Raw genomic sequence first — 25719 nt, forward strand, 5'->3', positions numbered from 1 at the left:
GCAGAGAAGAGAAGATGGAGCTGCCATCTTGAACATGTCTAATCCTTAGTTCCCATTGACATTCACCCACACAAGCTCCTAGCTCGCAGGCTGTTCTTAGTTAGAAAATGATTTGGGGCTGCTTTTTATTAAAAAAAAATAAAATAAAAGCCTTACAGAGGACTCTCATACCCTTGGTATCTGCTAAGTTATTCTTTCTTAACTTCTATATCAGTTATTTTTAAGGAAAGGAAAACAAGAAAAGAGAATTAATATAAAAGTAAATTTAAAATGAATATAAAAGAATGAATTTAAAACAAATATAAAAGAATGCATATAAAATTAATATAAAAGAGTAAATATTAGAAAAAAGAAGAATACACCATCTCAAAAGACCAGGCTGATTTCAAAACTAACCAAAGCAAACTTCAGAAAATAAAATATGCAATTTCTCCCCTGGGCTGATAGCAAGAATGGCATTAGATTTTGTTTTTACTTTACTCATTTTAAAAAAGTAAAAGAAAGGCTCTAAAGAGTTCAAATACAAAATATCTTTTCTTGGGACTTTGTTCATTTTAAGGTGGTTGATCCAATGAGGAAAAGGGCTCAGGTCTGTGATGTTAATATTGTGTCAACTTGACTGTACTGAAGGATGCAAAGTATTGTTCCTGGGTGTGTCTGTGAGGGTGTTGCCAAAGGAGATTAACATTTGAGTCAGTGGAGTGGGAGAGGCAGACCCAACCTCAATCTGTGTGGGCACCATCTAATCAGCTGCCAGCGTGGCTAGGATAAAGCAGGCACAAGAAGATGAAAGAGCAGACTTGCTGAGTCTTCCAGCCTCCATCTTTCTCCCGTGCTGGATGCTAGGAAGCCCTCAAACATCAGACTCCAAGTGCTTCAGCTTTTGGACTCTTGTATTTATAACAGTGATTTACCAGGGGCTCCTGGGGCCTTTGGCCACAGATTGAAGGCTTCCCTACTTCTGAGGTTTTGGGACTCGGACTGATCCACCACTGGCTTCCTTGCTCCTCAGCTTGCTAACGGCCTACTGTGGGACTTTACCTTGTGATCGTGTGAGTCAGTTCTCCTTAAGAAGCTCCCTTTCATGTATACGTCTATCCTCGGCTGAGTGCAGTGGCTCAAGCCTGTAATCCCAGCACTTTAGGTCAGGATATCGAGGCCAGCCTAGCCAACATGGTGAAACCCTGTCTTTACCAAAAATACAAAAATTACCTGGGCGTGGTGGCATGTGCCTGTAATCCCCACTAGTCAGGAGGCTGAGGCAGGAGAATCGCTTGAACCCAGGAGGAAGAGGTTGCAGTAAGCCGAGATGGCGCCACTGCACTCCAGCCTGGGTGACAGAGTGAGACTCTGTCTCAAAAAAAAAAAAAAAACAAAAAGAACATATATATATCTCCTGTTAGTTCTGTCCCTCTAGAGAACCCTGACTACTACAAGTCTCAGGCTGCGCAGTTGTCCTGGGATCAATGAGACTTCAGATTGTCAATGAGGAATCTACTTCCACAATATCCATTCCCAAAACCATACCACCATCCCCTAGATCCCCAATTACACATTGTTTATTAGTAAAAGAAGGAATAGTTTCAGGATTTATTTATTTATTTATTTATTTATTTATTTTTCTTTTTCTTTCTTTCGACAGGGTCTCACTCTGTCACTCAGGCTGGAGTGCAGTAGCACAAGCATAGCTCACTACAGCCTCGAAATCTTGGGCTCAAGTGATCCTCTTGCCTCAGCCTCCAGAGCAGTTGGGATGACAGGCACACACCACCACACCCAGCTAATATATTTTTTCTTTTTTTGTAGAGATGGGGTCTCACTATGTGGCACAGGCGGGTCTCCAACTCCTGGCCTCAAGCGATCCTCCTACCTCGGCTCCCAAAGTGTTGGGATTACAGGCATGAGCCACTGTGCCTGGCCACTTTTGCCATTTATTATACATAAGTTTTGCTTAGGCAAAAAAAAAAAAAAAAAAAAAAAAAAAAAATGTATAGTAGTAAACTCATGAAAAGCTTCTTCCATGTTGTACCTGAGGTGTTACCTCCTAACCTGCTTAGGCTTGTTTTTGTTTCTGGTTGTTACTAAACCAAGAACTAGAGGACAGAGGCCCCTGTGTACCAAAGGAAGTCCTTGGAGGAAGGGGGAAAGCACTCGATGAGTAAGTGTTGGCAGAGCCGGCTTACATTTTCTGCAGCTGTTTGGAATGCAGTCAGGACTAATAATGAACAGCTATCTTTCTGAACTTCATTACGGGGTAGCCCATATAAGAACAGGCACAAAATGGTTTTTGTTTTGTTTTTTAAATAACACCCCTGGATGCCCGCAGCTGGAGGGATGTGAAATAATATCACACAGGGAGGACTCTGGCTCAAACAGGGGATTCGTTTCCCTGTGGATTCCATTAGCAATCGCTCTTCTGCTGAAGAGCTGGGGAGGTGAAGCAGAGAACCAACTGGGATGATGGAAGAACTGTCCAGCCGATGGAGAAGGAGATCATCAACAACAAACCTCAAATGTTCATGAGAAAATTTAGCAAGGACGAAGTCTCTTTAGAAACACTGATAACAGGATGTCCTGAAAATGAATCCCAACAATTGCACATCTACAGACTAATTTCTTTTTTAAAAATTCAGATATACAAAATTCTGTTGCAATATGAAAAATAGGACAGGGCCAAGGGGGTTGGGGGGCAGCCTTATAAGAGGCTGAGGTTGGGCAGAACTTAGGTTTCATCAGAGTAACACCCTAAGTCATACCTCTTTGAAGGTTTTCACTAGTTTTTTAATCAAGTAGAAAATAGAAGTTAATTTTATAATTTCCCTGTGTTTCACAGTAGTGTTTTTGGTTTTTTTTTCAGGCCATTATGGTTTTCATTTCCAATATGGGTCCAGTCATCTAACGTTTCACTTCTTCCATAAAGTCCCAAGTTCAAGAACTTCTCCAGGTTTTGTCATAAAGGCTCCTGCACAGAGTAAAACATAGGATGCTATTAAGGGCAAAAGTCTCGTTCTTTCAAGGGGATATAAAACTAGGAAAGCAGCCCTCAGCCAAGATCCCCCAGCACAATTGTATTAGTCTGCTTGGCTGCCATAACAAAATATCACAGATGGGTGGCTTAAACAACAGAATTTATTTCTCACAGTTCTAGAGACTGGAAGTCCAAGGTCAAGGTGCTGTCAGGGTTGGTTTCTAGTGAGGACTCTCTCCTTGGGTGGCAGAAGGCACCTTCTTTTATATTTTCTTTTTTTTTTCTTTGTCATTTTATTTTATTTATTTTCTTGAGACGAAGTCTCTCTCTGTTGCCCAGACTGGAGTGCAGTGGTATGATCTTGGCTCACTGCAACCTCCACCTCCCGGGTTCAAGTGATTCTCCTGCCTCAGCCTCCCAAGTAGCTGGGACTACAGGCATGCGTCACCACGCTCGGCTAATTTTTGTATTTTTAGTAGCGATGAGGTTTTATCACATTGCCCAGGCTGGTGTCGAACTCCTGACCTCAAGTGAGCCACCCACCTTGGCCTCCCAAAATTCCGGGATCACAGGTGGGAGCCACCGCGCCTGGCCAAGGCACCTTCTCATTGTGTTCTCAAGTGGCCTCTTCCTGTGTGAGAGGGGAGGAGAAGGGAGAGGAAGGGAGTAAGGAGGGAGGTCCCTGGTCTCTCTTCCTCTGCTTATAAGGCCACAGTCCTATCTTATTAGGGCTCCACTCTTTTGACCTCATTTAATCTTGATTATCTCTCTAAAGGCCCTCCCTCCAAATACAGCTGCAATGCCAGGGGGTAGGGCTTCAAAGTATAAATTCCAGGGACACGCGATTCAGTTCATAAGAAAAGTATTGCTTTATGGAGGTTCATTTGTGACATCTGAAAATGTGACAAGACCTCAGACTTGTTCGAACCTCCCAGTTGAGAGGAAGAGCACTGCCTTTGTCTTCACAAGATGTGGTTTTGAATCTTCTACCCCTTACCTGCTAAGGTGATGTTGGGCAGTTTCCTGAACAAGCATTTTGGGAGGGTCATATATGATACATGAAAATGTGTAGTCCTGGGCCCTATGAATAGCAAGAAATTAATACCTGATAGTTCAATGACTCTTCTGGATGATTCTGTGTGTGCCAGAAATGTGAAGTCAAAATGCTGTGACTGAGTTGGGTCAAATATATACGGCTATAGTATTGGTTATTGTAGGATAAAATAAAGCAAGTTGAATTTATTTCCAGGGCTTTTCAGGTTAGCTAATGTTCTCATATTTGTTCCTTTGTACCAAAATATGAACAGCTGGGCTGCCAGAAATATGTTCTTCACCCTATTTTCTGAAGCTAGCTGCATTCCTTTTCCTTTCTAAAGTGAAAGAGGATTAGGATCAACAGTTAGACAAACTAGTGTATGTGTGTCTTTCTTGGAGAAAAGCAGAACTCACTCAGTTAGCCATTTTTCTAATAACCAAACACTCTGTCCTAAAGCCCTTTAAACTGATACTGTGTTGAATGATGTCACTAATGTTAATTGACAGTTTGCTGGAAACCATCTCTTCAAAATTCTCCTTTTCCGTTCAAGTCCTGTTTATTTTGTCACAGAATTAGAAATCAAGAAACTTCCAGAAAGAAAATGTGTGTGTGCATATGTGTGTACGCACATATGTTCTGGCTTTTAAACTAGGAAGGTCATTTGCAAGAGAGAGAGAAAAAAAATGCAACAAGTAGAAATGAAATTAGACCTGTGTTTATACAGTTCTCCTCATTGGCCCAGGACTTATTTTTGAAAGTTTGTAAACTGGCCTTCCAGTTTAAATTGAATAAGTAGGTGCAGCTGAGTAAATGGAGAGACCTGGGTTTGCAGCCATGTGTTTTCACTTTAAAATTACATCGAAGAGGAACACGGGGGTTAGAAACAAAAATAAGAAAGGGGGAGAGAAGACAGTCTACATTTAAAGGGAAAACGTGAGAAAACGAATAGTCAAAACAGAAGTCCAATCTGCTTGGCCCCAAAGGGGTCGGCAGCCACTCCACCATGACAGGGGAGACAGAACAGCCTGCCCAGAGCTATCCCCACAGACCTGGGGACGAGGGGAGAGCCTGCAGGCAAGGAACACTGAGGTGCTGCGCAGGGCCTGTAAAGGCCTGGAGACTTCCAGGCTGGCATGGATTTAAGACACCTTCATCTGGAAGTCTCCCCACAGCCTCCTGGGGGAAATCCACTCTTCTGCTCAACTTAAAGACCAACTTAGCTGATCCTCAATAAGTAAGAACACTGACTTTCTCTGTAGCTACTTGGTATTGGCTGAATTGCATCCCCCTTCCCAAAATTAATATTTTGAAGTCCCAAGCTCCAGTATCTCAGAATGTAACTGTTTGGAAATAAGGGCTTTAAGGAAGAAATTGAGTTAAATGAGGTCATTAGGGTAAGACCTTATTCCAGTATGACCGATGGCCGATGTCCTTGTAAGAAGAGGAAGAGATATCAGGGGCCCGTAAACGATGAAAGGCCACGTGAGGACCCAGTGGGAAGGCAGGTGTCTGCGAGCCAAGGAGAGGCGCCTCATGAAACACTGACCCTGCAGACACCTTCACCTTGGACTTCTGGCCTCCAGAACTGTGAGGAGATATGTTTCTGTCACGCCTGCCACCGAGTTTGTGGTATTTGGCTTGTGGGTTATGGCAGCCTGAGCCACCTGATACACTACTGAAGACAACCCTACCTATGGCTCCAGGGAAAGATGGGCCACGTTTTTGCTGTCACTGACACTGGGAGAATAGGGTGGCTTCTTCCTCTGACACCAGCGGAATCGCTTCATTTCTGCCTCCTTAACGGCCCGGGACACGTTGTAAAAGCCATCTGGAGACTGTAGTAATTCATGAACTTCTGGGTGATCGTAAAAGACTTCCCTCAGCTTACCCCTGCCACGTCCCTGCTACGGGTAGAACTGTGTCCCCAGCCCCTCCCACTCCAAAAGCTATGCTAGAGTCCTAACCCCCAGGACCTGAGAATAGGACCTTATTTGCAGATAAGGTCTTTAGAGAGGTGATCGAGTTTAGGTGAAGTCATCAGAATGGGCCTAGTCCACTGTGACCGGTGTGCTTATAAAGGGGAAATGTGGACACAGAGACAGGTGCAGATGAAGGCCATATGCAGATGAAGGCAGAGAGTGGGTGATGCAGAGGCAGAGGGACGCAAAGCTCGTGGGGAAACCCCCAGAGGCTGGGAGAAGGCCTGGAAGAAACCAACCCTGACCCCACGTTGACCTTGAACTTTCAGCCTCCAGAATCATGAGACAATACATTTCTGTAGTTCTGCCGCCCCCCCCCCCCCCCCCCCCGCAGTCTGTGGTACGTTCTTATGGCAGTTCCAGGAAACGAACGGTCCCTCTTCCCAGGGTCCATCTCCTGGCAACCTGATGAGAATCAGCTCCGGGGCGTCCAGTCCATAGGTGCTCAGAGAAGCTGTGGGGCCCGATGGCTGCACACAGTTGGTGAGAGCTGAGAGCTGCAGCAGCCCTTTGTCTGCTCACACTCAGCCCACCAGTCCCCCACCCACCCCTCCTAATGGCTCTGAATCTCCCCCATGCCTCTCCGCTTCTTCTCTCTCCACGCCCTATGTACCCACGCCCTTCTCCACTCCTGTTTTAGGCTTTAGTTCCCCGAAGTCTTCTGGTTCCCTCTCTGGCCCCTCCCGGGCTGGCGCCTGCAAACCCACCCCATCCCCCATTCCCAACGCCCCCACCCCTCCCACTCCTGGGCCCCTGCCTTCTGCGGATCCCTGAACTCGAGGCCTGGCGCGGATTGCAGATACTCAGTAAATATTCGCTGAAAGAGCAAATAAAATGAAAAATCGTGTTGAAGGGTGTGATGTAAAGACAGACGTATTTGTCTGTGACTATGTAACCAATTTCCCCAAACCTCGCAGTTTATTCTCACGGTTTCTGTGGGATGGGAACCGGAGGCTCAGCTGGGTTCCAGGCGGGCTGTTGGCTGAGCCTGGCTGCCACACCAGGGCTCTGCTTCCAGCTCGCTCACAGCTGCTGCCTGGCCTCGGTTCCTCGCTGGCAATGCGGAGACCTTGGCTCCTCACCACCTGGGCCTCCCCGTGGGTGGCCTGCCTGTCCTCGGGCATGGTGGCCGGCTCCCCGGCCGAGGGTTGTATGACCAAGCTGGAGAGCCGGAGATGAAAGCCACAGGCTCTTGCCACCTAGTTGTGGACAGGACGTATGGTCACTTCTGCTGGATCTATGGATACAATATGGGGGAGGGATTTTTCCAGGGTGTGAATTCCAGGAGGCCGGGATGATCAGAGCCATCCTGAAAGCTGCCTACCCAGAGAGACAAGGGTTCAAATCCCAGACTTTCCATCAACTGGCTCAGGGCAACACTGGCCCCTCTACAGATCTCCTTGGCTGATTTTTAGCTGAATCGTGACGGCTAATAATTGGAAGGCGATGGACTGTTCAAGTGGTTGCATATGTTGCCTCACTGAATCCTCGCATCAGCCTCCAGAGCCAGCTAGTACTACTGGAGTCTACTTCAAAGGAGAACCACTGCAGGTCACTTGCATGGTAAGGGACGGGGCCTGCAACCTTGAACCTGGGTCTGCCTCTCACTCCCTCCCATGGTTTTGGTTTTTGTTTTTGAGATGGAGTCTTGCTCTGTCGCCCAGGCCGCCACGCAGTGGCACGATCTCAGCTTACTGCAACCTCCGCTTCCTAGGTTCAAGTGATTCTTGTGCCTCAGCCTCCCGAGTAGCTGGGATTACAGGCGCCCACCATCATACCTGGCTAATTTTTGTATTTAGTAGAGACGGGGTTTCATCATGTTGGCCAGGAACTCCTGACCTCAAGTGATCCTCCCACCTCAGCCTCCCAAAGTGCTGGGATTACAGGCGTGAGCCACCACACCTGGCCCACTCCCATGTTTTTAATGTGGGAAACTGAGACTGCTGGACTGCTGAGCCTTCTGCTGAAGCCTGGGGCTGAGGAAAGGGCTTCCACCTTGCTGCGGGCTCTCACCCCGCACACATTCTGTCTGCTTTTCCTGTGCTAGGAGCAGTGCCACGGGGCTCATGGATTCTCAGGCAACACAAACGCTCACCCTGTGGGGAGAGCCTGTCTCCTCTGAACAGAGGTGGGCGGTTTGGGCTGCTTCTCAGAGTCACAGTCTGCAGGAAATCAACTCTGGCCTGATGGCACAGTGTCCGGTGGCCGCTTGGACACTGGCTCAACATGCACCAGAGCCAGGTCACGAGCTGTCACTCTCAATTCACCTTTGTTTCCAAACATTTGTTTCTGCCACTTTAAGGGGAGGGAAGGGTTTTAGCCCAAACAAACTCATGGTTTGGAGTCACTCACTGGAGGCGGAGGACACCTCCTGGGGGCAGTGAATAGGCAATGAGAGGGACTGGAAGGTCACATTTGCAGCCAGAGCCCAGGCTGCCCTGGCATGTCCGGCAGGACCATGGCCCGTCCTCCTATTGGACGGCTGCGTATCCCCTTTCCCTCGGTGACCACATTTCAGGACCCTTGATTTCTTTGCAAATCCCACCCTGCCTGGCCAGTCCCCTCACTCTCATGCCGACCGCAGAACCAAGGCTGCGCCCCTTCAAAGGCAGAGTTGGGGTAATTTTACTTGACAAGACTGCTGCCTGCCCTCCTCCTCTTTCCTCATCTGCCTTCCTCTCTCCTGACCCTGTTTATTATTATCAGGAAAAAACAATAGGTCCACATTTAAACTTCAAAGAAAAGCACGGGCTCAGGTTTCAAACAACTGCAGAGGCCTGGGCTTGGGACAGCTCCATCCCGCTCTCTCACCTGAACTACGGGGAACCTGGGGATGGATTTCAACTCTCTGCAGCCCAGCACTCAGGGTCAAGGTGAGGCCCAGTCTGTGACCACGGAGGAATTCTGGAATGTGGTGATGACCAACAGGAATTTTATGAGTGTCCCTCTGTGGAGGAGCCTGAGAGAAAGGCTCATGGAGGGCAGAGGGTGGAGGGCGTGGGACCAAGTTCCTTAGATAAGGCTGTGGCCCCATGGTAAGGGTCTGGACGGGGAAGGTCAGTGTTAACCCTTTGAAGGGCCCCCGGGGAGTGGATCAGGTTCAGAGCCCAAGGCTTTCACACATAGGTGTGTTCTAAAGCTGGTAAAGCCTCGGATCATCAGCCAGTGTCAGGTGTCACAGCATAGCCAAGCGACCAGACGAGCAGATGAGACCTTGTTAATCTCCAGTGGTGATGAGTAACCGTTCTCTCTATCACATATCACATACTGGGTGCGTTAGGGGGCCCTTAGGACTCGCTCCATTCTGCCTTACCCCACAGTGACTTGAAGGCACAGCTCCTGTTCCCCAAATGAGTCTCAGTGTGTTGTTCTCATTCCTGCCCTTTGAGTACATCTACCCAACCTACTGATTTCCCTTGTTTAATAGCATTTAAAGCTGGGTGCGGTGGCTCACACCTATAATCTCAGCACTTTGGGATTTTGAGATGGGAGGATTGCTTGAGACCAGGAATTCAAGACCAGCCTGGGAAACATAGCAAGACTCCCATCTCTACAAAAAAAAAATAAAATAAAATATTACCTGGGCACGGTGGTACATGCCTGCACTCCCAGCTACTCAGGAGGCTGAGGCTAGAGGATGGCTTTAGTCCAGGAGATTGAGGCTGCTCACTTGCTATGATCACGCCACTATACTCCAGCCTGGGTGACAGAGTGAGGCACTGTCTCAACAATAAATAAATACATAAAAATAGCATTTAAGCGATGGAGGGAGGGAGATCCTTTAGGCCTTAACCTGTGTTGCTAAACGGACCTTCAGAACTCCACCTAACATGTCAGGGACATCTTGGGAAGGCAGAGTGGAATAATTAAACAAGACTTGGTGCTGATGGCAGACAGGCCCCACTCCAATTCACCTCCACTGCTAGCTCACTCCATCTCACCTCCACTGCTAGCTCACTCCATCTCACCTCCACTGCCAGCTGGGCCTCTTTGAACAGGGCGCATAAGATAATTGAAACTTTCAGCTTATCTCTAGAATGGGGAAAATCATACCTATTTTGCAGACTTTATTCAGAGAGAAAGAAATGCATATAATATGCCTAGCATGGAAATTAATGTCCAATGTAATAGTTTTCTTTTTCCACTTTCCCCTGGAAGTGATTCATCCAGGTGGCGCTAGGAGGGATCTTCGCCGCAGAGGGCATTCGAGAGATGACAACTCTAGACATCCATGCAACTTCTGTTCTTGTGCTCCTGCTGTTTTCAAATTCCACAGTCACAGACTGCACCCTGGAAAACTCAGGACACCCTAGAGTGAACTGCTCTGAAGAACAAAGTTGCTACTTGCTTGCTACCTCTGGTTGCTACCCCTGGTTGTGTTTGGTTGCCACATAATGAAATGATTTTCCTTCCCTCTTTTATTTCCTTTCTTTCTTTTTTTTCTGCTACAAATGGAAAAATAGTTTGATCACCTTGAATCTTTTCACCCTTGGTATTCTCCCCCTTCACACCCGAGCACCGCCCCTTGATAAATGAGAACACGTGTACTGAAATCGCAGACTTCACCCTCCAGACTCATCGTCCTCATGCTCTCAGGGGGGACATGTTTCCTTTCAAACCTCCAGAATAAATTCATCACAGCAGGAAGAAGATTGTTTTTCTTAAAAAAAATCAAATCCTGTATCACAATTATTTCATTTCAGAGGGAAAATGCTCCCCTTCCATCTGAAACTTTCTTCTCTCCAGCTCTGCAGTCTTTGACCGTGGCGATCCGGCACCCTCGGCCCGGCTGCTTTTGCAAAGTCCACACTGATTCATTATTTCAGAGAGCCAAAGGGTGACACATGCATATTTTGAATATTACCCTGTATGTAGATCTGCCTCTGGCTTGACTTAGGGGCTTCTAACTGCCTGATGTATTGGCACTCGCATGCTTTCAATGGTGTTTGCATTTAAAAAATCATCTTCAATTCTTTCATTTGGAGGGTGAACTTTCTGAAAAGGATGCTGGGAACCATGTTATTTCAGTGTTATTTCTCTACTATACCAGCCCCTTTGCAAGCAAACCCCTTTTTCCTTAATGACAACACACAGTGACAAATGCCCAGTGCTGTAAACGTGAAGCTCCTTGGTTTGACTGAGACGGTCTGTAGCTGACATCGAGAAGCAGGACATCTTCCTGAACCAAAACACCTACTCAAGAACTCCTATAAACTTCCTTACGCTTTGTTTTAAGGAAAACCGCCTGACAAGAAGCATACTTGCTCCTCGCTGCCAGGCATCTTTCTGTTTATGTAGCCTTTGTTTACATGTATCCCCTGTTAATAACAATCAATATTTAACAGATGCACTCAGGCATCTTGGAAACTAATTTTCTTTCAAACGCAAGCACTTTCTGGGAAGGAATAAAGGGAGAGGAGAGTAGGGTTGGCAGCCCTCCATCGCGTGACCATTTATTGTCATGGAATGTAGCAGAAGACGGCTCCTGCTATTTCCTTTTGATTTCAGTGTGTAAATCTGCTCTCACCTAAAGCTTGACCGCGTGACAGTGCAGACACACATTAAACTGATTATTTCTGTCTGAGCTGTGTGTAGAATGTGCACTCTAAATTGCACATAAAAATGTTCTCCAAAATAGTACCACCTGCCTGCACGAGGATCATTTTCTTTCACAAAGGCAGACTCAAATGTGTTTCTGTGATTCTGCAGCCTCTGGGCTGATGAGGGTTGTCGCCCTTTCTGTGTCGGGTGCAAGCCGGGCTGGACTGGGGTTGCTGCTCTTCTTAGCCCCCTGCCTTCCACTCCAGAGGGAGATGAGGACTCCGGCGGCCTCACTGTGGTGTCTTTAGTTCTTGCTTAGAAGAGGGTCTCAGATTCCCAGGGAGCAGCTTCTCCTGATCAAAAGGAGAGAGAACAGAGGAAGGCAGGGTGGGTGGGCAGAAGGGGCTGGAGTGGAGCGAGTGGAGAAAAAAGAGGCAGAAGAACATAAAAGTATAGCACAAACCATTGCAGCCCAGGGAAGAGCACCTAGAGAAGAGGGGAGAGAAACGAACCTAGTAAGGAAGACTGAGAAAGGAGGATAAAAGTAAACACTGGGAGAGTGGCTTCATTTTTTACAAGGCAGGATGAAAACTAACCCCAGAAAAGGCAAGATCAAATTATTATGATTTCTCCAGACTAGCCCATGTTTCTCCAAACAAATGCCGTGCCCTTGCCAAGAAAAAGAAGAGAAAGATGTTCAGAAGGAGAAAGAGAGGTGTTTTGTCCGTACAGGGGCAAGCTATGGGATGTCATTCTCAACATAGCGCTTCCCTGACTCACTAACTCACACAAGGACCAGAGTAAAGGAAGTCATCTCATCCCAACTTTGAGGGCTGGGCTTGCAAATGCTTCTAATTTTCTAATATTTGGGGTTATGTGCAGGAATTTTCTTGGTCATGTTATGCTCTGGATACATAGCTTTGCGGATCTAAGCACGGAAGATAGAGGCTGCCCCTTCAGTTATAGTTGAAAAATTGAGGACCACAACTTTTCTGTCATGTCTTTATTAGCTCGGAGGGCTGAGGCTGCTCTGCTCTCTCACAGACTTTGGGACTTTTGGTTTTGGCCCCTAAAAGTCTGGGGCCCTTCATCCTCACCCACAGACTGTGCTTTTTGCTTCTATTTTCCATTTTAGCCAAGCTTCTAAGAAGTAATCTATATCCATCTGGGCTCAGTGGATCATGCCTGTAATCCCTGTCCTTTGCGAGGCCAAGGCAGGAGCATCTCCTTAGGCCAGGAGTTCAAGACCAGCCTGGACATCATAGGGAGATCCCCATCTCTACAAAAAAAAATACAACAAAAAGGCTGGGCACGGTTGCTCATGCCTGTAATCCCAGCACTTTGGGAAGCTGAGGCGGGCAGATCACCTGACATCAGGAGTTTGAGACCAGCCTGGCGGACATGATAAAACTCTGTCTCTACTAAAAAATGCAAAAATTAGCTGGTGTGGTGGTTCCTGCCTGTACTCCCAGCTACTCGGGAGGCTGAGGCAGGAGAATCCCTTGAACCCGGGAGGCAGAGTTTGCAGTGAGCCAAGACTGCACCACTGCACTCCAGCCTGGATGAAAGAATGAGACTCTGTCTCAAAAAACAAAACAAAAACAAAAACAACAAAAAATAATATTCTATATCCCTATTTCTGCATCTGCAGCTCACGTTCCCATATCAGACATCTGTACGTCAGCTTCCCTCTCCCACACCCTGGCAAAGTCTAAGCCCCATGCCCAAGGCAGAGGGAGCTTTTCAGTCCATTTCTTGTCTTCGTGGTGACACCTAATGATGCTGAACTGTCCCTTGTTGAATCTGCCCCTCTGTTGAGCTACCTGACACCATCCTCTCCTGTTCCCCTCTGCCTTTTCTGACTCGCCATTCTTCCTCTTCCTGTCAGATACCTGTTTTGTTTGGCTTGGTTTGGTTTTAGCTCTGTGGTGGTTAATTTTATGTCAACTTGCCCTGATATCTGGTCAGACACCATTCTGAGTGTATTTGTGGGAGTGTTTCTGGATGGGATGAACATTGAATTGGTGGAATGACTAAAGCAGATGCTCTCCCCAATGTGGGTGGGCCTCATCCAGTCTGTTGAAGGCCTGAATAGAACCAAGTCCTAAGGAAGGAGATGTTCCTCTCTCTGCCTGGTGGTCTTCAGGCTGGGACATTGGTCTGCTTATGCCTTCAGATTTGGACTGAGGTTTACACCATTGGCTCTCCTGCTTCTTTGGCCCTTGAACTATATAGATCTTGAGATTTTTCGGTACCCCTGAGAGGGAGGGGGAGGGAGAGAGAGAGGGGAACCTAATGGTTCTGTTTCTCTGGAGAACCCTGACTAATACAAGCCCATTCTTGAGTGTTGGTGTTTCCCTCCCCTACATCTCCCTCATAGCCAAGACTCAAATGAGTCACCCAACCCAGGTCCCAGGCACATCTCAGCCCTCTGAGTTCTGCTGCTGCACCCTAGCCGCAGGTAAACTATTTTCACCAAGGTCATTGCCATTGGCTGAATAGTGGCCTCACAATATATCCATGCCCCAATCCCCAGAGCCTGGGAATGTCATCTTATAGGGCAAAAGGGACTTTACAGATGTGATTACATTAAGGATATTGGGATGGGGAGATTATCCTGGATTGTCTGGGTGGATCCTACATGTTATCATAAGTGTCTATAAGAGACAGAAAAGGGGATTCAAATTCAAAATTAGCCCCCGATTGGATCACAGACCTAAATGTAAGAGCTAAAACTATAAACTACTTGAAAAAAAACATAGGCGTAAATCTTCGTGACCTTGAATTAGGCAATGGTTCTTTATATCTGGCACCAAATGTGTAAGTCACAATAGAAAACAGATAAACTAGACCACATCAAAATTAAAAGTTTTTATGCTACAAATGATAGTATCAAGAAAATAAAAAGGCAATCTACAGAGTGGAAGAACATATTTGCATATCATAGATATGATAAGAAACTTGCATTTGGAATATGTAAATAACTCTTACGACTCAAAAATAAAAAGACAAGTAACCCAATTTAAAAATGAACAAAGAATCTGAATAGACCTTTCTCCAAAGAAAATATACAAATGGCCAATACGATTATGAAAGAATTTGCAACATCATTAGTCATTAGGGAAATGCAAATCAAAACCACAATATCACTTCACACCCACCAGAAATGGCTTAAATAAAAAAGACAGAGAGTAGCAAGTGTTGTCAAGGATGTAGAGAAATTGCAACCCTTATTCATTGCTGGTGGGAATGTAAAATAACATAGTTACTCTGGAAAACGTTAAACTCAGAATTATTATGTGACTCAGCACTCCCACTCCTAGAGGTGTGTGTGTGTGTGCGTGTGTGTGTGTGTGTATGTGTGGTTTATATATACATACGTATGCATGTATATAGAAAGATGGATAAAAGATACATATGTGTATATATATCCAAGATAAATAAAAATGTACATGTACATGAAACTGGTATGTGAATGTCCATAGCAGCATTATTCATAATAGACAAAAAGTGAAAACAAAGGCCTATCAACTGATAAATGGATAAGCAAAATGTGATCTATTCATATGATGGAATATTACAGAGCAATGAAAAGAAATAAAATCCAGATACAATGCTATGCCATGAATAAACCTTGAAATATTATGCTAAGTGAAAATAGCTAGCCACAAAAGACTACGTATTGTATGATTCCCTGAATATGAAATATCCAGAATTGGCAAATTTAGAGAGACAGAAAATAGATTACAGGTTGCCTAGCACTGAGGTGAGGGTGGGAAGTGAGGAGGGCACAGAGGGCACAGAGCTTCTTTTTCAGATAATGAAAATATTCTAAAATTAGATTCTAGTGATACATAAATTTGTAAATTTACAAAAATCATTGAATCGTATCTTCAAGTTCTGGAATTATATGATAGGTGAATTATACCTCAATAGAGGTGTTAAAAATTAAAAAATAAAAAAGAATGCCACAGAAGTGATGTGTCCTTTGAAGGTATCATATCCTCTGGGGGTCACCATGTCCCTTTATTTGCTGACTTTGATCATTTGGATAAAGGGTCATCTGCCAGGTTTCTTCACTGTCACGTTACTATTTCTTCCTTTGTAATTAATAAGTGCTTTGTAGGGAAGTCCACTGAAAATACATAAATATTGTCTCTCATCACATTGCATGCATTAATCTTAGCATCCATTGCTGATTCCTGCCTGAAACAATGATTACTGTTGGGTTTGCTGAATGGTAATTTCCTGTTTCCATCATTCCTTCCACATTTAGTAGCTGGAATTCTACTGGAAGGAAGACCTGTCCTTCCCCTGCCCCCATTTATTTATTTATCCAATTGTTTATTTATATTACCATGGACCCATGGGTTCTTATTTTATTCTATGGTTTATAACAAACACACACACATTTACTCACTGATTCATCAAATATTTACAGCACTCCTAGCACATGTCAAACACTCTTCTGGACTTTTGGATTTCGCTGTTGAGCATGATGTCTTGGCCAAGACAGCTTTTACTCTCCTTGGAGAAATGTCCCCTCCTCCCTGAGCTGGCACAGGCATCTCCCTTGTCTGTGTCCTGTGCAAGTGCTTGCATGGGTCCATGCACTCAGTCATCTCCCTGTTTCTGAATCTCTCTGGCTGGCCCGGAGGACCCTGAGGGCAGGGGCCCACACTGTGGATCTCGAAGACACAGCACTGATCTTCGAAGACACTCAGCTCTTGCTTGGGCCTGGGTGAGCTAGTGAGGGAAGGGGTAAAGGAATGAACAAACATTGCTAGTGCTCAGATGCAAATCATAATATTAGAACATTGTCTAAGAAGTTCAAAGTTTAACCTTTGTTTGTCCTTGAGAGGCTGCCAGCTGTCTGTTATATTGGTTTTCTATCCAGACTGGATATAGAAGAAAAAGGAAAGAATTCAATATGCCTCCAAGATTTCTGGCTATGAGCCATTGGTAGAAGGAGGTGCACACACTTGGGCTGGGGATCCGTGTAGAGAAGATCTGTGGGTTTGGCAGTGCTGAGCTGAAGAGGAGCCCCCAGGGCACTCAGGTGGGAGGTCTAAGAGGCAGCTGCAGACCTGGGCTTGAGATCCCCAGAGAGGATAGGGTGGGGTTGGGGAGATGGTGACACTTTGGGAGTCATGGGCCTCTGTGGGGAGGAGTAAGCCATGGGGAGCATGGGCATGAGTAGAGGGAGGAAGGAAGAGTGCAGGGAGCGAAAGAACCTATGGCAACACCAGTGGTGACACCTTGAAGCCTGAGGAAGAGGCTGAGAAGACTTTTAAGGAGAGAATGGTCAACAGAGCCAAGAAGAGCGGCAAGAGTCCCCAAGATAGAGGCTGACATGGGCCAGGACCTAGGTGGGGCGGGGAAGTTAGGGGGCGGGAGGCCTATTTCAGAGACTGAAATGGGATGATGGAGAGGTGGAGTAGGTGGAAGGGAAACTTATTCCCTGAGGTAACTTGAATGCCGACAGGACAGAGACCTGGGGATACCTTGGTGGAAGCAGAGGATCAACTGATTAATTCTTTAAAGGGCATGGAGGGTCTCGAGTATGTTCACACAACAGAAAAGACTGGGCCAGGCCGGGCATGGTGGCTCAAGCCTGTAATCCCAGCATTTTGGGAGGCCGAGGCAGGCAGATCACCTGAGGTCAGGAGTTCAAGACCAGCCTGGCCAACGTGGCAAAACCCCGTCTCTACTAAAAATATAAAAATTAGCCGGGTGTGGTGGTGTGTGCCTGTAATCCCAGCCACTTGGGAGGCTGAGGCAGGAGAATCACTTAAACTCAGGAAGCGTGGAGGTTGCAGTGAGGCAAGATCATGCCATTGCTCTCCGGCCTGGGCGACAAGAGCAAGACTCTGTCTCAAAAAAAAAAAAATAAAATAAAATAAAAGAAAAAAGACAAGACAAGACTGTGCCAGTAGAAAAGAAGTGTCCTGGTAATGGATGGAATCATGATCAGCAGGAGGCTAAAGACACAGGAGGAGAAAGGGTTCAGGGCCTGGATGGCAGGGACATTGGACAGGGAGGGACCCACCTTCCTGTGAAACTCGAGGGGAAGGGCAGGGTGAGCTAGGTGCAGAAGGGGTTGAAGGGGGAGGGGCAGGGGCGGGAAGCCAGGGCCACCTCCTTTGAAGTCCTCCATGTTTCCATGTGAGGAGGAGGGGAAGTCACCTGCAGGGAGCGGGAGTGGCAGGCCACAGCCTTGGATCCCTTCATTGCTGAATGGCTTCCAGAGACATCACCGATGCCTGACCCCACAGCTCCCAGCAGGCTGCAGGAGAGAGAAGAGGGGTGGGTGGGGTGGGAGGAAGAGCTAGAGGGAAGGAAGTTCGAGTAAGAGAGCAGCTGAAGGGCTGACTTGTGGTCTAGGGAGGGACCCGGGAAGCAAACCCAGGGGAGCCAGGGAGGGAGCTGGAATAACGGGGCTCTGGCCAGCAAGTGGGAGGATGGAGCGGGTTGGGGGGAAGGTGTAGGAGGAGCAGCGGGTGATGACAAGATCTGGGTGTGGCTGTGGGTGTGAGTGGCTGGGTTTGCCAGAGCCTGCGGGGGTTTAGGAAGTGAAGGGGGCATTCCAGGACACCCGATGGGGGGGCCCACATTCGAGGCCTCAGCTAAGGCCAGCCAAAACAGTGTCCAGTGTGTCCAAAGACAGATAGTGCCCCCACCCTGGGGCATGGGAGCAAAGGAAGAGGACGGGAGAGTGATGCGTGGGAAGGGGTGGGCCCACAGAGGAAGGGAGGAGAAAGAGAGGAAGGGCCAGGGGACAGGCACAAGGGGTGGGGACGGACCTATGTTGCCTCAGTGGGGACCCTGCTTCAGAGAGGCAACACTGCTGCCTGGCCTGCGGTGTCTTGGAGCCTCGCCTCCCAAATGTGAACTCTGCAGGCACCTCTTCTAAAGGCAAAGGATTCTCTGGGAGTCCCAGTTTTTTTGTTTGTTTGTTTTGTTTTGTTTTGTTTTTGAGACGGAGTCTCACTCGCTCACCCAGGCAGAAGTGCAGTGGTGCCATCTTGGCTTACTGCAATCTCTGCCTCCCAGGTTCAAGCAATTCTCCTGTCTCAGCCTCCCAAGTAGCTAGGACTACAGGCACCCACCACCACGCCTGGCCAATTTTTGTGTTTTTAGTAAAGATGGGGTTTCACCATGTTGGCCAGGCTGGTCTCAAACTTCTGACCTCAGGTGATCTGTCCCCTTACAGCCTCCCAAAGTGCTGGAATTATAGGTCTCAGGTGAGCCACCGCTTCTGGTCCCCAGTGTTAAAGGGGAAAAGGGTTAAATTCAGTACAAGCGCTTCAGGCCCTTCAACTCCTATGAAACCTACTCACTGGTGTCCAACTTTTATACCCAGCAAGAGGCTGATAATGGAATTTTGCTGAAACAAAATCATTGTTTTCATCACGGCTATCATCCAGTTTACTGGAGTCCAGTTTCTTTTTACTTTGGCCTCTTGCCCTTTGTCCTTATGACAATTCAGATTCTCCTGCCACTGGATTCTGTCTGATATGCTTTGAAACCTTTGATCATGTGGGATGTGTCAGTGGCACCTGGTTTCTACCTGGCGGGGTATAGCTTGTGTGTTCTGGAGGTGCTGGTGACTGGCAGCTCTTAGTGGAACTTCTCACTTCTGGATTCACCCTCCCTGAAGAGCACCACCTTGCCCAAGGTCACACCCCCTTCCAGGGTCCACCCACCCCCAGTGATGGTCGGTGTCGAGTATTGATATGATTTGGCTGTGTCCCTACCCACATCTCATCTTGAACTGTAATTCCCATAATCCCCAAGTGTCATGGGAGGGACCCACGGGGAGGTCATTGAATCATGGGGGCGGTTACCCCATGCTGCTGTTCTTGTGATTGTGAGTGAGTTCTCACGAGGTCTGATGGTTTTATAAGGGGCTCTTGCCCACCTTTTGCTCAGCACTTCTCCTTGCTGCTGCCATGTGAAGAAAGGCATGTTTGCTTCCCCTTCCACCATGATTTTAAGTTTCCTGAGGTCTCCCCAACCATGCTGAACTGTGAGTCAATTAAACCTCTTTCCTTTATAAATTACCCAGCCTCAGGTATGTCTTTTTTTAGTAGCGTAAGAATGGACTAATACAGGTATAAAGCCCCAACCACCTCCCTCAATGTGAGATGACTCTGAAGGGTTGCCCCAGCTCAGGAGCCCCTGCGTGGGGTTGGCTGAGGCCTTTGTTGCAACTTCGTCACAGTTCAACTTCTCTCTGCTTGGTTCAGCTGCCTTCCCTCCCCGACAGGTGTTGACCCTTAGAGCATTCCCCAGTAAACTTCCTGTATGCAAGCTGCATCTTGGAGTCTGATTCTTTCTACAGTTCTTAGACTTAGTGCATAAAAATGCAAGGTGCCCAGTTAAATTTGAATTTCAGATAAACAATGAATAACTTTGTGGTATGAGTATGCTCCAAATACTACACAAGACAGTATACTAAAAATTATGTCCTGTTTTTGGGAAATTTAAATTTAACTGGGCATCTCACATTTTATCTGGCAACCCTACTTCTTAGGGAGCCCAAGCTGGGTCATGAAATGATCCTTCATGGCCCTCATAGTCTGTGGAAGAGGAGCCCTGTGGTTTCTATGGCAGTGAAAGAGCACAAAGGTTATCAGAGGCACGAGCACCAGGGACACTTCAAGATCAATGGAACATCCCATCTGGAGAATGGGTTGAGGACCAGTATTACTGATGGGGCTGAATTATTCTCAGTGGTGGAGGTGAAACTGAAGAGCTCTCCAAGGAGAAAGCTCCCACACTGCCCATGTGAAGGCAACCACCTCTGGTGAGGCTGCCAGGAGAGCAGAGCATGAGCACCGAGGGGCCAAATCATGGCCCCACCATGACAGTCATGAGGGTAGACTGCCTGCTTCCTGCCCAGGAGTTGGGGAGCCCACTCTTACTGAAGAGGGGACTCAAAGCCAAATCGCACCCACTCCTTTGCTCAAAGCAGTTATAGCCCTTTTCAGTGGTAAGGACTGAGCTTTCAGTGCTGAAATAAATCTGTTTTAGTAACCAAGAATGATGAATAATTATACAGTCAAGTCAAAATGGTGTGATGAAGGGACCTTAGTTGGCCTTTAGTAAGAAAAATGTTTCAACATGGCATTATAAAGGGACGGTTATTGGAAGGAATAAAACCACTTTATGCTTATGTCCAATGAGTTATGCTCTCAATAAATAAGTTACTATTGTTATTATCATGTCAAAGGGCTTTTAGGCCTGAGAAACTAAGTTTTCTAATATCCTAAGCAAATATGCCTGCTAGTAACGCTTACCAGAGATAAAGGAGAAAAGATCATAACTTGGAAAAGACCTCGGTCCTTACTCCTTGGCCAGGCCACCCCCTCTTCCTGCCCTCTCAGCCTGTTCCCACTGCACTAGCACTGGGAGTCGGGGAGGGGAGTGGCTTTTGGACCAAAAATGTACTCAGGTCTTCCTAAAGAGCTTGCCTCACCCTGTTACTTCTTCAAATTCTTCTCACCCACAGCCAGCTCTGCAAGCCACTGCCAGCGTGGCTCTCTTGGGGACATTGGTGACCTGGTTGGTTCATGCCCTTTGTACTGGTTCGACTCTTCCTTGACCACTTGGCAGTGCCTGAAGCAGCTGCCTGCCCACTTCTTCTGAAGCTCCTCCTGCCTCTCCCAATACCCACTTTCTCTGTTGATTATCTACCTCCTCTTTCCACCTTGGGTAAGGTACTTATTCCCCAGAATGCCATTCTCAGTTTCCTTTCATTATTTGTGTTTTTCTGTGTGATACTTTATTTTTAATACACTTTTTGCATATCAGCTTTATTTCAATGTAACTTACCTACCATAAAATTCATTTTTTTAAAGTGTTTGATTCAGCAGCTTTTAATAAAGTCACACAGCTGTGCAACTACTGTGGCTGTGGGTGTGAGTGACTGGGTTTGCTGGAGCCAGGGTGGGTGCAGGAAGTGAAGGGGGCATCCCAGGTCACCTGAGGGGGCAGCCCCGCCTCCATGACCTTGGCTGAGATCGGCCAAAATAGTGTGCAGTGTATGTGAAGACAGATTCTGCCCTCAGCCCTCAGGTGGCATCATAGCGCTTGTGTGCAAGTAACACTTACTTTACTTAACAATGGTCCCAGAGCTCAAGAATACTGTGCCTAATTTATAAATTCAACTTTATCGTAAATATGTATGTATAGGAAAAAAACATAGTAATACAGGATTAGGTACTATCCATGGTTCCAGGCTTCACTGGGTGTCTTGAAATGTATCCCCTCTGGATAAAAGGGGACTACTATATGTTTTACTTCTCTTTTGAGGTTTTTTTTTTTTTTTTTTTTTTTTGAGACAGGGTCTTGCTCTGTCATCCAGTCTGGAGTGCAGTGGTGCAATCTCAGCTCACTGCAACCTCCACCTCCCAGATTCAATCGACTCTCCTGCCACAGCCTCCTGAGTAGGTGGGACCACAGGTGCGCCCTACCATGCCCAGCTAATTTTTGTATGTTTAGTAGAGACAGGGTTTCACCATGTTACCCAAGCTGGTCTCAAACTCCTGCCCTCAAATGATCTGTCTGCCTTGGCCTCCCAGAGTGCTGGGATTACAGGCCTGAGCCCCTATACCCAGCCTGTTTTGAATTTTGAATCTGTGGGTGGTGATGAGCTAGCTGAAATTCAAGAGTTCCAGTCTAATGAGAGAAGAGAACAGATGCGTAGGACAACTAGCAGACTCTACTACCATAGTAATTCAAAGGCAAAACTCTGTCTCTTGCTGTACCAGTCAGGGTCCAGTCAGGCAAACAGAATCAGTAGGACACATACTCTCAAACCCACGCATCCCTAGGAATTGATCGTGAGGAACTGTCTGGCTAAGAACATCAGAAATCTTTAGGGCAGGCTTCAAGAAGGCAAGATCAGAAGCAGGCAGGGCTCCACAGACACAAGCAGAAGCTCATGTCTGGAGAAGGCTGAAGCTGCCTTTAAAGGCTTTGCAAGTTATGCCCATCCAGGGTAGTGTCCATAACTTAACACCAGCTGATCAGGGGCTTCAAGCACACCTGTGAAGTTCCTTCACAGCAGCATCTGTATGAGTGTTTGAGTAACCAGGAAGAAGGGTGTGTGTACTACACGGGGCTACTGCTTCTTTTCCGTCCTCACAGTCTCCTAAAAGTATGTCTTTTATGGCCCACCCTGTCTGAAAACATACAGGAGAGGGAATTCTAAGAAATGCAGTTCAGTACAGTAGTGTGTCACAAAGCCATCACACCTGTGGTCCCAAATCGAGAAGTCCCATAAAAGTCCCTAGTTGGCCCAACTCAAGTCATATGACCAGCCCAAGTTCAACCACCGTTGCCAGGGGAAGGGGTAGAAAAATTGGGCTGAATCATGTGACCGTCTTGTGACTAGAAGGGGGAGGATACCATGATGAGTGGTCCCATAGCAGCACCTGATTGGGATGGGGAAGGAGGAGAACCCCAAAAGAATTGGGGATACTGAAAACCTAACACAACCTATATCATCATCTTGGATGCCCCATAGGACTGAGCACCATGCTTAGGGCTTAGAAGGCCTTCAGAAAGCACAGCTGGCAACTGAGGTAAGAACTCAAGTAAGACCTATGGATTATATTAGCTCGACCATTTGTCCACTCACTGACATTGGCTGGACCCGGCCAAGACCCCAAGAGAAGAGCAGTCCTGGAGGTTCCCACTGACACTTTAGTTCCTGCACATCAGGAATGGCTTCTCAGCAGCCAGTACCTTTTCCAATGTTCAGAAACAGTTGTTACTTGCCAAGACACGTTACATATCTCCACCACAGACTGCTGCTCGTTCACACTCAGTTTCCTCTGGAAATCTCTGGCAAACACCATCTGGCTGCAGCGGGGGACTGAGCCCTGGTCTTTTGTTGCTCCACGGCCTCCTACTCAGGGGATTTCACCCCTCCTCATGGCCCCCAAGGAGAAGGCCCTCCAGGTCTGTGGGCCCCATTTCGCAAAGGTGGCCAGTGTGTGCCCCGAGTTCCAGTGGCATCATCCCCTTGGTGAATCTGGGTCGGGGAAATGGTGCTTAACTGTTAACCCATCAAGGTTTCATGATCCTTTTCATCTGTGCAGTTCCAGCAGGGAGAGGAGCTGTCACTGTGTATTAGCCTGGTCTCATCCTCCACGATGTTGTCAACTCCCTGGCAGGAGAAGCGATGTTGCATCCTGCCTGTACGTTTCCTCCATGCCTAGGACGGTAGTTTGATTTTAAAGGGCGCCAGGTAAATGTTTGCTGATGAATATTAAACGAAGGAGGAGATGATTTTCCAGCCATCATGGGAGGAGGTCAGGAGGGGCTGGACTCCACTTCCCTTCAATCAGAGTCAATAACTGACCTAAAGTTCTAGCCTGCAATGCGCGGTACTCATGCAAGGTGGGTTGGTGGTGCTAGTGGCATGACTTCTCCCGTTGGATGTTCTTTGCAAGCCCCCTGTCCTTTTCTTTTGATGTACTTACTGGAGGAGTTTGTAATTACTTATAACACAGGCCTTTCATTCTACCTCTCTCTCCTCCTGAACTATAAATTCTGTAGGAATCGGGACAGGGCCTCCTCACCTGGCCCACAGCAGGCACTCAGTAAAGAAGTGATGAATGAATGAACACATTCTTCATGTCATCTGGTGAGCATATTTAATTAAAAATATCAGTGCTTTCTAGGAAGACAAATGAGCTCTGCCACAATCTTTTTCATTTGAAATTCTAGTGCTGATTCTGACTTTAAACTGGTGGTGTTTATTGAGTACTTGCTATGTGCCAGGCATTGTTCTACACTTTTCACTTGTATACTTAAAAAAAAAAAAATCCTCCTGGCTGCATTTGGAGTACACAGTAAAGAACAAAACACCCTCACAGCATCCCTGCTGGAATGCTCACTTTACAGCTGAGGAAACAGAAGCGCAATGAGCTCAAGTACTTGCCCGAGGCCATGCCGCTGGTAAGAGGTGGAAACACCTAAGAATGAAACTGATCTGCCCCTTCCTTTGTGTCTAGACCAACGATGCAATAAAGTAAGTCTACCAACTCACAGCAAGGCCATGGGTAGAGGTCTTGAAAGGCACCATGGAGCCCAGAGCTGAGCTGACTCTTCAAACTCATCACTCTGATATTTCACTTCCTGTATGAACCACCCAGCAACATTCCTAAACTCCCCCTTTCTTAAAAAAAAAAAAGTTCTACATATACTTGCCAAATGACCCAGCAATCCCACTAATGGGTGTTTACCCCCAAATAAATGAAAACATATGTCCTCACAAAGTTCACAGCAGCTTTATTCTTAACAGCTAAAAACTGGAAACAATCTAAACATCCATCTACTGGTGAAAGGATATTCAAATTGCAGCACGCCCATATAAGGAAATACGACTCAACAGCAAAAAGAAATCAGCTGCTGATACGTGCAGCAATGTGGATGAGCCTCAAAGGCGTCCCCTGTGTGAAACAAGCCAGACACAAGAGACTCTATAAGTATGTGCTTCCATTTATATGATATTCTGGGAAAGGTAAACTACAGGGCCAGAAAACAGATCGACGGTTGCCAGGGGCTGGAGGTTGCAGGGTGGAAGGTTCGTTGCAAAGGGTCACAGGAAGCTTTTTTTCTTCCTTGGGACAGGATCTTGTTATGTTTCCCAGGCTGGTCTTGAACTCCTGGCCTCAAGCGATCCTCTCCCTTCGGCCTCCCAAAATGATAGGATTACGGGCATGAGCCATGGCTCCTGGTCAAGGAAACTTTTTTACGGGGTGGAGAGAAGGGGCTGAAAATTTGATTGCAGTGGTGGCACTATATTTGTTGCCAAATTGTACACTAAAAAGGATGAATTTTATTATATGTAAGTTAGACATCAGTAAACCTGATTCTTGTTAAAAGTAATTTTTAAAATCTTTTATTCCAATGTATAAAATTGGTTCTTCTATTCCTTTCCTTATAAATCCAAGCAATAGTTTCATTCTTTAAAAATGCATAATGTGAAAATAGCATTAGGAAAGCTGCCTTGAAATATGGATACTAAATGCATCCCACTGGGCAACTTCAGCAAACCGCTGGGTCTTCCACCACAGTTAAAATAGCTCCTGCTGTCCCCGGGGCAGGAGTGGCTTAAGAAAGCATTTAATCCAGGAGTGCGTGTCTGGAGCTTTGTGTTAATCAGATTCCATATGACT

The 25719-nt window shown here is 46.7% G+C and overlaps 3 long non-coding RNA genes across 4 annotated transcripts, besides 3 other annotated features; 1 reads left to right on the forward strand and 2 right to left on the reverse strand.

The window, feature by feature from the left end:
- Positions 1-2756: 2756 nt before the first annotated feature.
- LOC105370161 (uncharacterized) lies at positions 2757-6077 on the reverse strand. The gene is made up of 2 exons (XR_941852.2): positions 5696-6077; positions 2757-2962 (listed from the first exon to the last, which is right to left on the reverse strand). It is a non-coding gene; the product is annotated as an uncharacterized LOC105370161 (long non-coding RNA).
- A 736-nt stretch (positions 6078-6813) lies between these two features.
- LOC124903224 (uncharacterized) lies at positions 6814-8857 on the reverse strand. The gene is made up of 2 exons (XR_007063891.1): positions 8795-8857; positions 6814-7220 (listed from the first exon to the last, which is right to left on the reverse strand). It is a non-coding gene; the product is annotated as an uncharacterized LOC124903224 (long non-coding RNA).
- Positions 7884-8480: an enhancer, noted in NCBI's record as "H3K4me1 hESC enhancer chr13:36270618-36271214 (GRCh37/hg19 assembly coordinates)". NCBI's record gives its function as "activates a minimal SCP1, AML or CMV promoter by ChIP-STARR-seq in naive H9 embryonic stem cells {active_cell/tissue: H9 hESC(naive)}" and the evidence as "EXISTENCE:reporter gene assay evidence [ECO:0000049][PMID:30033119]".
- Positions 8481-9076: an enhancer, noted in NCBI's record as "H3K4me1 hESC enhancer chr13:36271215-36271810 (GRCh37/hg19 assembly coordinates)". NCBI's record gives its function as "activates a minimal SCP1, AML or CMV promoter by ChIP-STARR-seq in naive H9 embryonic stem cells {active_cell/tissue: H9 hESC(naive)}" and the evidence as "EXISTENCE:reporter gene assay evidence [ECO:0000049][PMID:30033119]".
- Positions 8927-10659, forward strand: LINC00445 (long intergenic non-protein coding RNA 445). Of its 2 annotated transcripts, none has more exons than NR_132116.1 (2): positions 8927-9039; positions 10142-10404. It is a non-coding gene; the product is annotated as a long intergenic non-protein coding RNA 445 (long non-coding RNA). The 2 variants fall into 2 exon arrangements; NR_132115.1 differs by lacking the exon at positions 8927-9039 and adding an exon at positions 9130-9254 and having other exon boundaries at positions 10142-10659.
- Positions 24204-24919: an enhancer, noted in NCBI's record as "NANOG hESC enhancer chr13:36286938-36287653 (GRCh37/hg19 assembly coordinates)". NCBI's record gives its function as "activates a minimal SCP1, AML or CMV promoter by ChIP-STARR-seq in primed H9 embryonic stem cells {active_cell/tissue: H9 hESC(primed)}" and the evidence as "EXISTENCE:reporter gene assay evidence [ECO:0000049][PMID:30033119]".

The sequence above is a fragment of the Homo sapiens genome, chromosome 13 (assembly GCF_000001405.40).
Source record: "Homo sapiens chromosome 13, GRCh38.p14 Primary Assembly".
NCBI lineage: Eukaryota > Metazoa > Chordata > Mammalia > Primates > Hominidae > Homo > Homo sapiens.